The 16,093-nt window shown below is 38.1% G+C and overlaps 1 protein-coding gene and 1 pseudogene across 35 annotated transcripts in view; both read left to right on the forward strand.

Annotated features, from left to right (window-relative positions):
• The window catches only part of CCDC171 (coiled-coil domain containing 171), a 556,042-nt gene that overhangs the window by 26,319 nt on the left and 513,630 nt on the right, over nt 1-16,093 (forward strand). For 23 of the 35 annotated variants that reach the window (XR_007061261.1, XR_001746227.3, XR_001746228.3 and 20 more), the window contains 2 exons: nt 12,163-12,353; nt 14,838-14,969. Coding sequence is in view for 30 of the 35 variants with exons in the window: in XM_047422930.1 (XP_047278886.1) it covers nt 12,163-12,353; nt 14,838-14,969 (323 nt within the window). In the remaining 5 variants the exon portion in view is untranslated. Of the gene's footprint in view, nt 1-8,328; nt 8,491-12,162; nt 12,354-14,837; nt 14,970-16,093 lie in introns of those variants that run through there. The other 12 variants (XM_047422935.1, XM_047422931.1, XM_047422934.1 and 9 more) reach the window with 4 other exon arrangements.
• On the forward strand, nt 9,032-9,521 carry HMGN2P16 (high mobility group nucleosomal binding domain 2 pseudogene 16; annotated as a pseudogene).

Genomic DNA, 16,093 nt, shown 5'->3' on the forward strand with positions numbered 1-16,093 from the left:
TATCTACTTTACATTGATTTTTTTATGCTGTGCATATATGGAAAAAGGAGTTCAAAATTCTCTTAAGTCACTTTTTAGAAGCACTTCTTCCATGAATAATCAACAGAATCACAAAGGGATTTTTGTTTGTCTTAAACATATACTCCAGGCTCCCCATCACATATAATATGAATCCAAATCTCTAGCTTGAGAATCTATATGTTCAAGAAGCACTGCCTCTTTCATTGATTTTGCCAGGTTTAGAAATCACTGGGCTAGAGTGTGGTGCCTGGAAAAGAAAAAGTCACTGGATTTAATCTTCAAAAGCTATGTGTTATGTAGCCCTTGGACTTAAATAAAGCCTTTCTATTTACATATAATATATAAAAATAAATGTGCCTAGATAGCGATATCACTCATAACAAGCACCCAGATGAGGGACCAGAAAATGATCAAAAGCCCTTCTACATGGATGACTACTATACTGGTTTTTAATAGTGTAGATTAATTTTGCCACTTTTTTGTACTTTATATGAATGGAATCATAAAGTATATATTCTTTTTTTTCTGGCTTTTTTCCTCCAACATTATGTTTTTGAAATTCATGCATATTGTATGAGAGCTTTGTATTGATGTGTAGTATTGTGTAAACATTCCACACTTATATTTATCCATTTATTATTGATGGGCATTTGAGTAGTGTCCAATTTTTGATTATTAACAATAATGTTGCTATGAACATTCTTGTACACAGCAGGTTTTAATTAAGAGAACACTGAATGTGAATTCAGATTTAGATTTAGGTCCTGGTTCTACATGGTACTGGTATAAAAACAGGCATGGAGACTAATGGAACAGAACAGAGTACCCAGAAATAAAGACAAATACTTACAGCCAACTGATCTTTGACAAAGCAAACAAAAACATAAAGTGGGGAAAGGACACCCTATTCACCAGTAGTGCTGGGATACTTGGCAAGCCACATGTAGAAGAGTGAAGCTGGATCTTTATCTCTCACCTTATATAAAAATCAATTCAAGATCAAAGACTTAAATCTAAGTCCTGAAACCATAAAAATTCTAGAAGATAACATTGGAAAAACTATTCTAGACATTGGCTTAGGCAAAGAGTTCATGACCAAGATCCCAAAAGCAAATGCAACAAAAACAAAGATAAATAGATCTTTAAACTAAAATTAAACTAAAAAACTAATTAAACTAAAAAGCTTTTGCACAGCAAAAGAATAGTCAGCAGAGTAAACAGACAGCACAGACTGGGAGAAAATATTCACAAACTATGCATCTGACAAAGGAGTAATATCCAGAATCTATGAGGAACTCAAATCAGCAAGAAAAAAACAAATAATCCCATCAAAAACTGGGCAAAGGACATATATAGACAATTCTTAAAAGAAGATATACAAATGGCCAAAAAACATATGAAAAAATGTTCAATATCACTAATTATCAGGGACATGCAAGTCAAAAGCGCAATGAGATACCACCTTACTACTGCAAGAATGGCCATAATTTAAAAATAAAAAAATAACAGATGTTGCATGGATGTGGTAAAAAGGGAACACTTTTACACTGCTGGTGGGAATGTAAATTAGTACAATCACTATGGACAATAGTATGGAGATTCCTTAAAGAACTAAAACTGGAAGCATTCCCTTTGAAAACCGGCACAAGACAAGGATGCCCTCTCTCACCACTCCTAGTCAACATAGTATTGGAAGTTCTGGCCAGGGCAATCAGGCAAGAGAAAGAAATAAAGGGTATTCAAAAAGGAAAAGAGGAAGTCACATTGTCTCTGTTTGCAGATGACATGACTGTATATTTAGAAAACCCCATCATCTCAGCCCAAAATCTCCTTAAGCTGATAAGCAACTTCAGCAAAGCCTCAGGATACAAAATCAGTGTGCAAAAATTGCAAGCATTCCTATACACCAATAACAGACAAACAGAGAGCCAAATCATGAGTGAACTCCCATTCACAATTGCTACAAACAGAATAAAATACCTAGGAATCAACTTACAAGGGATGTGAAGGACCTTTTCAAGGAGAACTACAAACCACTGCTCAAGGAAATAAGAGAGGACACAAACAAATGGAAAAATACTTCACGCTCATGGATAGGAAGAATCAATATTGTGAAAATGGCCATACTGCCCAAAGTAATGTATAGATTGAATGCTGTCCCCATCAAGCTACCACTGGCTTTCTTCACAGAACTGGAAAAAACTACTTTAAAGTTCATATGGAACCAAAAAAGAGCCCATATTGCCAAGACAATCCTAAGCAAAAAGAACAAAGCTGGAGGTATCACGCTACCTGACTTCAAACTATACTACAAGAATACAGTAACCAAAACAACATGGTACTGATACCAAAACAGATATATAGACCAATGGAACAGAACAGAGCCCTCAGAAATAACACCAGACATCTACAACCATGTGATCTTTGACAAACCTGACAAAAACAAGCAATGGGGAAAGGATTCCCTATTTAATAAATTGTGTTGGGAAAACTGGCTAGCCATATGCAGAAAGCTGAAACTGGAACCCTTCCTTACACCTTACACAAAAATTAACTCAAGATGGATTAAAGACTTAAACGTAAGACCTAAAGCCATAAAAACCCTAGTAGAAAACCTAGGCAATACCATTCAGGACATAGGCATGGGCAAGGACTTCATAACTAAAACACCAAAAGCAATGGCAACAAAAGCCAAAATAGACAAATGGGATCTAATTAAACTAAAGAGCTTCTGCACAGCAAAAGAAACTATCATCAGAATGAACAGGGAACCTACAGAATGGGAGAAAACTTTTGCAATCTATCCATCTGACAAAGGGCTAATATCCAGAATCTACAAAGAACTTAAACAAATTTACAAGAAAAAAACAATCTCATCAGAAAGTGGGCAAAGGATATGAACAGACACTTCTCAAAAGAAGACATTTATGCAACCAACAAACATATGAAAAAATGGTCATCATCACTGGTCATTAGAGAAATGCAAATCAAAACCACAATGAGTTGTCATCTCACACCAGTTAGAATGGGGTTCATTAAAATGTCAGGAAACAACAGATGCTGGAGAGGAGATGTGGAGAAATAGGAATGCTTTTACACTGTTGGTGGGAGTGTAAATTAGTTAAACTGTTGTGGAAGACAGTGTGGCGATTCCTCAAGGATCTAGAACTAGAAATACCATTTGACCCAGCCATCCCATTGCTGGGTATATACCCAAAGGATTATAAATCATGCTGCTATAAAGACACATGCACACGTATGTTTATTGTGGCACTGTTCACAATAGCAAAGACTTGGAACCAACCCAAATGGCCATCAATGATAGATTGGATAAAGAAAATATGGCACATATATACACCATGGAATACTATGCAGCCATAAAAAAGGATGAGTTCATGTCCTTTGCAGGGACATGCATGAAGCTGGAAACCATCATTCTCCACAAACTAACACAAGAACAGAAAACCAAACAGCGCATGTTCTCACTCATAAGTGGGAGTTGAACAGTGAGAACACATGGACACAGGGAGGGGAACATCACACACTGGGGCCTGGCAGGAGGTGGGGGGCTGGGGGAGGGATAGCATCAGGAGAAATACTTAATGTAGATGATGGGTTGATGGGTACAGTAAACCACCATGGCACATGTATACCTATGTAACAAACCTGCACATTCTGCACATGTATCTCGGAACTTAAAGTATTAAAAAAAAAAAAAAAGAACCAAAAGTAGAACTACCATTTGATCCAGCATTCCCACTACTGGGTATCTTCCCAGAGGAAAAGAAGTCATTATATGAAAAAGACACATGCACACGCAGGTTTACAGCAGCACAATTCACAATTGCAAAAATATCGAACCAGCCTAGGAGCCCATCAACCAATGAGTGGATAAAGAAAATGTGGTATAGGCTGGGCGCGGTGGCTCACGCCTGTAATCCCAGCACTTTGGGAGGCCGAGGAGGGCAGATCACCAGGTCAAGAGATTGAGACCATCCTGGCCAAGGTGGTGGAACCCCGTCTCTACTAAAAATACAAAAATTAGCTGGGTGTGGTGGCGCACGCCTGTAGTCCCAGCTACTTGGGAGGCTGAGGCAGAATAGCTTGAACCTGGGAGGCAGAGGTTGCAGTGAGCCAAGATCGCACCACTGCAGTCCAGTCTGGTGACAGCGAGACTCCATCTCAAAAAAAAAAAAAAAAAGAAAATGTGCTATATATACAGCAAGGAATACTACTGAGCCATAAAAAGAACGAAATAGTGGCATATGCAGCAATCTGGATGGAGCTGGAGGCCATTATTCTAAGTGAAGTAACTCAGGAATAGAAAACCACTTATAAGTGGGAGCTAAGCTATGAGTATGCAAAGGCATAAGAATGATATAATGGACTTTGGGGACTCTGTGGAAAGGACGGGATGGGGGTGAGGGATGAAAGACTACACATTGGTTACAGCATACACTGCTTGGGTGATGAGTGCACCAGAATCTCAGAAATCACTACTAATGAACTTTTGCCTGCAACCGAACACCATCTGTTCCCCAAACTATTGAAATAAAAAATAAAATGTGAAAAAAATTGTCCTTGATTAAAAAAAAAAGTGTTTTTGTTAACTTCATGGGGCTAAAGAAATGTTAAGATATAATTTTCTTTTTTTCTTTTTTGAGATGGAGTCTCCCTCTTTCGCCCAGGCTGGAGTGCAGTGGTGCGATCTCGGCTCACTGCAACCACCGCCTCCCGGGTTCAAGCAATTCTCTGCCTCAGCCTCCCGAGTGGCTGGGATTACAGGTGCCCACCACCACGCCCGGCTAATTTTCTTGTATTTTTAGTAGAGACGGGGTTTCACCATCTTGGCCAGGCGGATCTTGAACTCCTGACCTTGTGATCCACCCGCCTCGGCCTCCCAAAGTGCTGGGATTACAGGCGTGAGCCACCGTGCCCGGCATGTTAAGGTATAATTTTGTAACTGTTAAGATCCTTAGTTTTGCTCAGCTGTCTGGGGTTATTGATATTGGTCAGAAGTATTTTTGATTATGTAGAGAAGAAAAAGTAGTATCTTTTACTCACCCATGCAAGGTTTACAACTGACAACCCTATAACAAAACACAGGTTAACAAGAGAAAACCATAACAAATTTATTTAACAAAGTTTTAGATGACATGGGAGCCTCCAGATATGAAGACGCAAAGAACCAGGGAAAACCGTATTTTTGTGTTAAGTCTGATGAAAGAAGTGGATAGTTGTGGAGAAATATGACTGGACAAAAGTATATGTTCCAATGTAATAAACTGAGTGGGAAACCCAGCAAGCCTGTTTGTTCAGTAGCATTTCTTTCTTCCAGGTGATAGATCACATGAGGGCCCCATGACCTACTTTCAGAGGTAGTAGGTCAGAGAGGCGACCTTTCTAGATTTTATATCTTGCTTTGGGGAGAAAGAAGGGTAGAAGACAGGAAGTCAGAGTAACCTTCCTTCTGAGGCCCTCCTGTCTTCTGCAAGTGAAAAATATTCAGCATACCAAGCCACCATAATTGGGGGTATTGTGTTCTGAGCCCCAGTAATTACCTTTGGTGTTTAATAATAGTTACACGACTACCTGGAATTTAGGAATATAAGAATTGGAAGGCACTAGATATGAAAGTTCATGACTTTCATTTAACCATGAGGAAAGTGAAGTCCTGGAAAGATGGGAAGTTACTTGCTCAGAGTCAAACAATTTCAACAGACATTCTACAGAGTAAGATAGAGAGATGACTATTAATCAGAGGAAAAATGCGTAACCTCACTTATTGTCAGGGAAATGCAAATGAAAACCATAGTAGATGTTACTAAACACCTATCAGGTGGCTCTAATTGAAAAGATTGTCAATACCAAATATTGGTGAGGATATAGAGCAACAGGGACTCATATTTTTTGTTAATGGGAGTGTAAAATGATACAGCCACTTTAGAAAAAAACCTGGCCGTTTCTTTTAAAATAAACATGGATTTATCTTATGAGCCAGTGGTTTCACTCTTTATTATTTCCCCATGAGAAAGAAAAACTTTTGTCCAAAAAAGACTTGTAAAAGAATTTCCTAGCAACTCCATTCATGGTGGTCCAAAGTTGGGGAAAAAGACATTCATTAACAAGAGAATGAAGAAACAATTTGTGTTATATAATGAAATGCTACTCAACAATAAGAAGAAAGCAACCACTAACGTATGCGGTAACATGAATGAATCTCCAAAACATGCTTAGTGAGAGAAACTTTACACTCAAGAGGACATCCTGTATGGTTCCATTAACATAAAGTTCTAGGATAGGAAAAGCTAATCATTGGTGAAAAAAAGAATCTAAACAGTGATGGCCTCTGCAGGGTGGGTTGGCAGTGGATTTGACTGGGAAAGAGTATGAGGGTACTTTTTGGGTTGAAAGAAATGTTCTGTATTTTGATAGGTGTTTGGGTTACATGAATGTATTTATTCATAAAATCTCTTTGAACATTGGCTCACACCTGTAATCCCAGCACTTTGGGAGGTGGAGGCGGGTGGATCGCTTGAACCCAGGAATTCAAGACCATCCTGACCAACATAGTGAAACCCCATCTCTACTAAAAACAAAAACTAGCCAGGCATGGTAGTGCACGCCTGTAATTTCAACTACTCAGGAGGCTGAGGCAGAAGGCTCACTTGAACCAAGGAGACAGAAGTTGCAGTGAGCTGAAATCGTACCACTGCACTCTAGCCTGGATGACAGAGTGAGACTCTGTCTCAAAAAAACAAAACGAAAAACTCCTTGAACAGTACACTAAAGATTTGTGCATTCTACTAGATGTACATTTTATCTGTAAAAAAATAAAACTATATTACATTCTAATTAATGATATACATGCTGAACTATTTAGGAGTGAAATGTCCTGATGTTTGCAACTTGCTTTGAAATGCATAAAATGTATGATGGACTGCTGGGTGGATAAATGAATGCATGCATTGAAGGATGGATGAATATCTGATAAAGCAAATATGGCAAAATGTTAACAATCCTAGAGTCCAGGTTGTAGATATATGGATGTTCACTGCACAATACTTTCAACTTTCTGTGTTTTTAAAATTTTTATAGTGAAATGTTGAGGGTAGTGTAAAAAGCCTAATGCAGTTATGAGATAATCCCATAACAATGGAGAGAACAGGGGGTGTGACAAGAGAGAAAATTTTGGAAGCTGGAAAGCAAATGGATGAGGAATAACTGAGTTAGAGAGATGTTAAAATCCTAAGTCAGGAGTGGGGAAAACCGAAAGAGAAATTCTTAGTCAAAAGGCTTATAAACTGGAAGCACCAGATACCATTGGAATTATGTATGGGAGTAGCAGTAGTGAGTAAAATAAGTAGGGTTAGATGAAAGCTGTTTGAGAGGCAGATAGGTCCTTAGATTTCCTTCCAAGAGCATGCTACTCTGGGATTACTTAAGAATTGCTAGTGGAAGTCAGGAGGTTTAATCCCTGGAGATGGCGAAATAGAGTCTTTTGACTGGCAAAACCAGGAAGATTCTGAATGCTGAATATTGAGGAGCCATTCCTTCCAGCTTCCCTTTAATTAATTAATTAATTATTATTATTACTTTTAGAGACAGAGTATCACTTTGTTGCCCAGGCTGGAGGGCAGTGGTGTGGTCATAGCTCAGTGCAGCCTTGAACTCCTGGGCTTAAGCCATCCTCCCACCTCAGCCTCCTGAGTAGTTAGGACTATAGGTGTATGCCACCACACGTGACTAATTAAAAAAAATTTTTTTTTGTAGAGACTAGGTCTTGCCATGTTGACCAGGCTGGTGTCAAACCCTTGGCCACAATCAATCCTCCAAGCTTGGCCTCCCAAAATGCTGGGATTACACGTGTGAGCCACCATGCTCAGCCCCCAGCTTCCTTTATATATTGACTTCCCCAAAAGCTAACACCTGGATTTCTACACTCTATGCCGGATGTTGGAGGACTCTTTTGTGTATCACCTGACCAAGCTGATATAGTTTGGCTCTGTGTCCCCTCCCAAATCTCATCTTGTAGCTGTCATAATTCCCATGTGTTATGGGAGGGACCCAGTGGGAGATGATTGCATCATTGGGGTGGGTCTTTCCCATGCTGTTCTTGTGATATGGGTCTCACGAGATCTGATGGTTTTAAAAATGGGAGTTTCTCTACACAAGCTCTCCTTTTGCCTGCTGCCATGCATGTAAGATATGACTTGCTTCTCCTTGCCTTCTGCCATGATTGTGAGGCTTCCCCAGCCATGTGAAACTGTAAGTCCAATAAACCTCTTTCTTTTGTAAATTGCCCAGTCTCAGGTATGTCTTTATCCAAAAAAACAGACGAATACAAAGCCAGGAGGAAGAACCTAATGATACTGATGTTGGAGGTTTCCCAATAAATGAGCCATCCAGATCCTTCTCCAGCGAAGACTAAAGTTGTTAACGTCCACCTTGAAGCTCAGATTCTAGGTGGTGGGTATATTAGTGTATAAACTGTATTACATTTATAGTTTCTAACTTTTAATGAGAGTAGACAACCAAGAGTTACCAGATATATGAGGAAACCCTTTAAAATGGAGAGAAGAAATCAACTTAGAAGAAACAGAGGCTCTGCAGGGAGAACATTTAAAAGAAGTAGCATTAATTTCCTCAGATCTGAAAGAATATATTTCATCTATGAAGTAAGAACCAGGTGTTATAAAAGATGAAATCTATTAGAAATTAAAAATATGAGGCCAGGCGCGGTGGCTCACGCCTGTAATCGCAGCACTTTGGGAGGCCGAGGCAGGTGGATCATGAGGTCAGAAGTTCAAGACCAGCCTGACTGATATGGTGAAACCCTGTCTCTACTAAAAATACAAAAATTAGCCAGGCGTGGTGGCAAGTGCCTGTAATCCCAGCTACTCGGGAGGCTGAGGTGGGAGAATCACTTGAACCTGGGCGGCAGAGGTTGCAGTGAGCCGAGATTGCGCCACTGTACTCCAGCCTGGGTGAGAGAGTGAGACTCTGTCTCAAAGAATTTAAAAATATGGAAGCAGTGGGAAGAAGAGGCAAGAAGGACCCCCGGACTGACCAAAGCCCACACGCCATTGCATCCCTGCATCTGGTGCTACGTCTTAGCAGCATTACCACCATGCCCAAGAGAAAGCCTGAAGGGGATGCTACAGGAGATAAAGCCAAGCTACAGAGAAGATCTGCAAGGTTGTCTGCTAAACCTGCTCCTTCAAAGCCAGAGCGCAAGCCCAAAAAGCCTTCTTTGCCCCTGCAAAGAAGGGAGAAAAGGTACCCAAAGGGAAAAGCTGATGCTTACAAGGAGGGGAAGAATCCTGCAGGAAATGGAGATGCCAAAACAGACCAGGCACAGGAAGCTCAGCGTGCTGGAGACGCCAAGTGAAATGTGTGCATTTTTGATAACTGTGCACTTTTGGTGACTATACAGTTTGAAATATTTTTCAACCAAGTTTTATGAAGATGCAGACTTTTTTTTTTTTTTTTTTTTTTTATGAGACGGAGTCTCACTCTGTCACCCAGGCTGGAGTGCAGTGGCACGACCTCGGCTCACTGCAAGCTCCACCTCCCGGGTTCACGTCATTCTTCTGCCTCAGCCTCCTGAGTAGCTGGGACTACAGGTGCCCGCCACCACGCCCGGCTAATTTTTTGTATTTGTTTTGGTAGAGATGGGGTTTCACCGTGTTAGCCAGGATGGTCTCGATGTCCTGACCTTGTGATCCGCCTGCCTCGGCCTCCCAAAGGGCTTGGATTACAGGCGTGAGCCACCGCACCCAGCCGTGTTTTTTTTTTAGAGCTATGTTGTTGCCCCACAGAAAACGTCGTTGTTTTTTGAGGAAGGGACATGTGTTACTACTAGAATGTCTCTGAAGTGGATTGATGGGGGGAAAACACGTTTCCCTTCTAGTTTTGAGAGACTTCTTCTTGGCTTCCAGGAGGAGAGATTCCCTGATATTGACACACATAGCCACCTTGGCACAAACACCTTGTGGTGTGGAAAAACAAATTTGTTTTTATGTCCTCTTCTCCCTTCCATCCTCAGCATAGACTTAACTCCCTTAAGCCCAGACATCTCTTGGGATTGACTCCCAGTAATTGGTTGCCAGTGTATCAGGCAATCTGGACTTTCCAATGACACCACTGAGATGGCACTCCTCAAAATAGCAGCCCTTCTGTTTCTAGATTGTAGATCTTTAGATAAATCCTGCCATTTTCATTTCACTTCCTAAAAGTCAGAGTCTGCTTGTGAAAAGTTGTTAAACAACATGTTAATGTGAAATGTCAACCCCCACTCTAAACTCTCTGTTGAGAACATCAAATGAGGACTTCATTGGGTTTATAGTGGCTTTCTGATTTTGGTAGTCCTTTGAAGAAGAGGGTTTGAAAGTTGTATACTGTTAATTGAAATACCTGCCTACAATACCATTATTGTTTGTGAAAAATATAATTAATAAAGTTGGATACAGTTTGGCTTGAAAAAATTAACAAATTAAAAATATGAAGGCAGAAATGAAAAATGTCCCTAGAAGCACTGGAAGATGAAGATGGAAGAAACCTCCCAGAAATTAGAATTAAAAAGACAGAGGTAGAAAAATAGGAGAGAAGAGATGAAAAAATTTGAGGACCAATTTGAATAATAGGGAATAGTGAAAGACGTAAGAGAGAAAACAGAAATGTATGATAAATCATCAATGAAAATAACTCAAGATAACATCTCAGAACTAAAGGACATGAATTACCAGATTGAAAGAGTCTATTGAATATTTACCGTTATGGAAAGAAGTAGACCTACTGCAGGCATAGCATTATGAAATTTCAGAAAAATAAAGACAGAGAAGATTCTAAAGCTTTCACGAGAAAAGAAAAATAGGTCAAATGCAAAGGATCAGGAGTCAAAATGGCCTCAAACTACTTTCCTGCAATGCTGGATGAGAGACCATGGAAGAATGTCTTCTGGAGATGGCAGCTGAATGGGAGGGGGACTTTTAATGTATTTCCTTTTGTACCTTTTATACCTTTGTATTTTGAACATTTTGAATGTATGATTGATTCAAAATGCAAAGAAATATAATTTAGAAATACTGCTAATATAGCTGTGGCATCTTTTAACATGTGTTTTTATAAACATTTCCTCATTTTATCTTCACAAAAACTTAACTAGGGACATTCTTATTTCTAGTGAGAATCAGAGAATCAGGGAGGTTTAATAAGTGGCAGGTGATGGAGCCAGACCTGGAAGCATTTCCTTCTTTTCTAGGTGCTGAAACAGAGCAGCAGTGTTAGTGTGTTGATAGGTGTTGGTTATTGTTGAGGTAATCGGGTAGGAGGTGAGTTGCACCTAAATCTGGCAAAGTAAATAGTTACAGTTCTAAGGGTTGGGGTAGTGGTTTCCAGCCTCAGCTTTGTGACCCTTGTGTAAGATGTGTTACAACTAGTTTGTTGTCAATAGTCAAATATAAAAATTTGTAATCTACTCTTTTTAAAAACTTGCCCTATATATCACAGTCTTAAAAATAGATTTTTTTCTTCTTTCTTTCTTTCTCTTTCTTTCTTTCTTTCTTTCTTTCTTTCTTTCTTTCTTTCTTTCTTTCTTTCTTTCTTTCTTCTTCTTTCTTTCTTTCTTTTTTCTTTCTTTCTTTCTCTCTTTCTTTTTCTTTCTTTTAAATCTGAGAGGAGGTCTCCCTATGTTGTTCAGGCTGGTCTTGAACTCCTAGGCTCAAGTGATCCTCCCGCCTCAGCCTCCAGAGTAGCTGGGATTACAGGTGTGTACCACCACACTCAGCTGGTTTGTTTTCTTGAATAGGACAAAAACCAATAGAGTTGCAGCTGGTGCTAGAAGTGCACCTAAACTTGGATATGCCTTCAGAAATATGTCACACTGTTTCATAGCAAAATCATCATTGTCTGAAGGGGAAGAAGAGATCGAAAATTATAGAATAGATTGATTTAGAGACTGTGAGCTTTTCAAGAATTTACCGGAATGGAAAGGTTTTCAAGAGTTTACTGTAATGGAAAGGTTAAATGTTTTATCCTAAGATCATGCTGTAAATGATGTCAACTCCAATGCCTAGGTTTTGGGGCTCCTTGTTATTTAATTCATGGTTGTAAATGTACCTATTATTCTATTCTTAATAGCACAGAATTCAGAACTTCAAGCAAAGACAAATGAGACTGAGAAAGCATTTCAGACTTCTCAGCAAAAATGGAAAGAAGAATGCAGAAGATTTGAACATGATTTGGAGGAAAGAGACAATATGATCCAAAATTGCAATCGAGAATATGATTTACTTATGAAAGAAAAAAGCAGACTAGAGAAAACTCTACAGGTAAAATAGTTTTTATAAAGGAATTTTCCGATATGTAATATTCACCGAGATGTGTTGTACATTACTTGAAGTTATCCTGGATTTCCTTCCTTCCTTTTTCCTTCCTCCTTCCTTCCTCCCTCCCATTTTTTCTTTTTTAGGGGCATATTTGCTGGTCTCTTTTGGAGTATATTAATAGGTATACTTTTTGGGGTGAAAAACGGTTTGCGGTCGCTAATCAAAATGTTAAAAGCCAACAAAGCACTTATATGGGCATATTGTAAGAAGCTAAGAATCTACAGCTCTTTTTGTCTAGCAATATGAACATTTGGAATTTTAGAAATATGGGCCCTGGATTTTGGTCTGAATATACAATAAATATAGAAAAATATTTGTATGTTTGATATGAGCTTCATTATCTATGTAGAGCATGTTTTGTATAAACATGATATGTAACATATTTAACTTCTCCTAAAATTGTGAGCTATTTATTCCCTCATTTTTTGTTCTCTTTTTACTCCCTAAAGTAAAAGTGATATAAGGTTGAAGTTGCCAGTGACTTAAAAGGTAGATTTTGAGTTGTCTATATTTGCCATTTTTTTTGAAGTAACAGTTTAAATGAAAAAAAAAAAAAATTACATGACAAAGCCAGGTATGGTGGTGCAGGCCTGTAGTTCCAGCTAGTAGGGAGGTTGAGGTGGGAAGATCACTTGAGGCCAGGAGTTTGAGGCCACAGTATACCATGATTGGGCCTATGAATAGCCACTGTACTCCAGCCTGAGCAATATAGTGAGACCCTGTCTCCCCCCAAAAAAGCAAAAAAACAAAACAAAGAAAAAAAAACGGTGATAAAAATGTTCTACCTTTACCATTGGTGTAAATGGCTTTTTTGAATTCTGGAAATGTGTCTTTACTAAAATTAATTACACAAAAGCATTTAAAAACTGTAAAAGTTTTCGCACAGTCATTCCCAGATGTTGTCATTGTCAGCAAATTTACTTTTGATTTCTTCCACATCAGTAGTCATAGTTTGTTTCTTTTGTTTACTACTGTATTCTTAGACCCTGGAACAGTAGCTGGCATGCAGAAGGGCTCCATTAGTGTGTGAATGGGGGAGGTTTCGGTGGTAACTGATATTACAAGTCCTTGGATGGGCCTGTATAACCTTCCCCACATAAAATGTTTTGGAGTTATGTGGAGAGGAGGGTGATGGTGGCAGTATTTCTTCAGCCAGTCAGCTTGCACCTGAAGGTAGAAGATTTTGATCTGATCTCAATTAGCTACTTAGGAGAATTGTGGTTTGATTTTAGGCTATTGGCTTTTTTTGTTTTTATTTTTATTTTTATTATTATTATACTTTAAGCTTTAGGGTACATGTGCACAATGTGCAGGTTAGTTACATATGTATACATGTGCCATGCTGGTGTGCTGCACCCATTAACTTGTCATTTAGCATTAGGTATATCTCCTAATGCTATCCCTCCCCACTCCCCCACCCCACAACAGTCCCCAGAGTGTGATGTTCCCCTTCACTAATCTGCACAGAGACCCTTGGGACAGTTTGGAGTTGAATCTGAGTCACTATTTAGCCCTTGGGGGAAAAAAAAGCCTCAAGGCTCTTTGTGAAAGCTTTCTTTCTATAAGTTAGGAGGGTAGTATTTGTTATACAGATCCATGCTACCATTGTGTGGACATGAGAGGCTTTCTTTCTCTCGCATGTAAACTATAGACTTTTTCTTCTGTTAATGGGAACTTAATTTTAAACCCTATAGTTAGAAAATTGGGCTTCTCAGCAAATTGCATTTTATGTTTTTAAGATACTAAACCGAATTAGATCTTGCAGTACACCTCAGAAAACCCAAAAGGAAAGCATTTTTTCAAGTATTGTTTATCTATAGAACTAGAAATTAAAGTCCATACTTAAATTTCTTGTTTTTTTGCTTTTCAAATTTTTAACATTCTAGAGTTTCCTTATCCTAATTTGTTGCACAGAATTCTTTTCTTTGCCCCTTTTTCCCTTTTGGAAATACATTGCTCGTGTCAAATTTATATATAAATTATCAGGGATAATCCAAATGTTTTGATCACAGGTAGAGATTTCCATATTAAATGGAATCTACTTTGTTTATATCTATCATATGATATCATATATTGATATTTTGTTCAAACCTCTGAAGTTAACATTTTTCAGAAAAATTGGGTCAAATATATCCCTATATAATAAACAGGTATATACAGCCTGTTGCTTATATATACATATTATATATAGGTAATAGGTAAATATATGCCTATATAAACAAGGTATAATCTGTTGTTTAAATAAACATAGTTTCTCAGATCTACATTCTATTGATCAAATTATAGTTTTATTAATGATTTTAACATGAATTATGATGAGTTTTAACATCTATAGGTAAGGAGAGCCTCTTTGTACATTTAAACTGGGGATGAAGGAAGATAACTTTTATTGATCTAACAGTAAAGCAAGATTTTATTTATATAAAGGAAGCGTTGGAAAAACATCAACGGGAGAAGAATGAGATGGAGTCTCATATCAGGGAGACAGCATTGGAGGAGTTTAGATTACAAGAAGAACAATGGGAAGCAGAAAGAAGAGAATTACAATTTATAGTACAGGTATTTTAAAAATAATCAGTTCCTTAAATATATATTTTTAATGCTTATGATATTCAAAATTACATTAGTGGGATAACTGACTCGCTCAAAGGGAAAATAATTTCTAGTTTTGATTCTGGAAGGCCACATTTCATTTGCTGTTACATGACAATAGGGCAACTGTTACCAACAGATACCATTAGTGTTTAGAGTTCAGTGATTTCCATTGCATACCTTATGTGATTTTTAAGAAGGATGTATATATATTTGGTATTTTATTTTTCCAATTTAAAATTTGAGACTAATAGCTGTTTTGAATAGGACAAAGAAATAGAATAATAGGATTCTGGATGTTAAAGAATCCTTACAAATCATATAGTGTAGTAATTTTTGAACTCTTTTTAAGAAGTACAAATTCTTAATTATCCTCTATTCCTCCACCCCTGAAATACGCAGAATCCCCGAGGCTTCTATAGTCCAATTTGAAAATTACTGATTACATCTAATCCCCTTTATACATGAGCAGATGGAGATTTGGAAGTTACTGACTTAGGTTATAGACTGAATGATTAATCTGGGAAAAGGCTGCAGGTCTCTGAATTCTCACTCCAGTGTACTTTGCATTTTTTCAGGAGATTATATGTATTTATTTTGAAGGAGAGGTAGGAGAAACTCAAACTAGTGTGTTGTGTGTTTTAAAGGAAATTTGTGAAGGTAATCCTCTTTAAGAAAAAAACCCATGAATCAACTAACTTAAAACTTCAAATACATTTTCAGCACATCTTCTAGTTATTTTGTGATAACACAATGTGTTTTATGTATTTTTTCGACACAGAATGACAAATTGAAATAACCTTTCTATAGATGTCAAAGATATGCATTTTTCACAAGAATGAAAAATATCCACATATAATACATTTTGGAGTAATTATGTCTCACAAACAACTTTGTAACACAGAAGTTGACCAAAAATATGCAGAGAATAGAAGCCACTTAATTTTTTTTTTTAATTATACTTTAAGTTTTAGGGTACATGTGCACAGCGTGCAGGTTTGTTTCATATGTATACATGTGCCATGTTGGTGTGCTGCACCCATTAACTTGTCATTTAACATTAGGTATATATCCTAATGCTATCCCTCCCC

The sequence above is a fragment of the Homo sapiens genome, chromosome 9, assembly GCF_000001405.40.
Source record: "Homo sapiens chromosome 9, GRCh38.p14 Primary Assembly".
NCBI classification, from domain to species: Eukaryota; Metazoa; Chordata; class Mammalia; order Primates; family Hominidae; genus Homo; species Homo sapiens.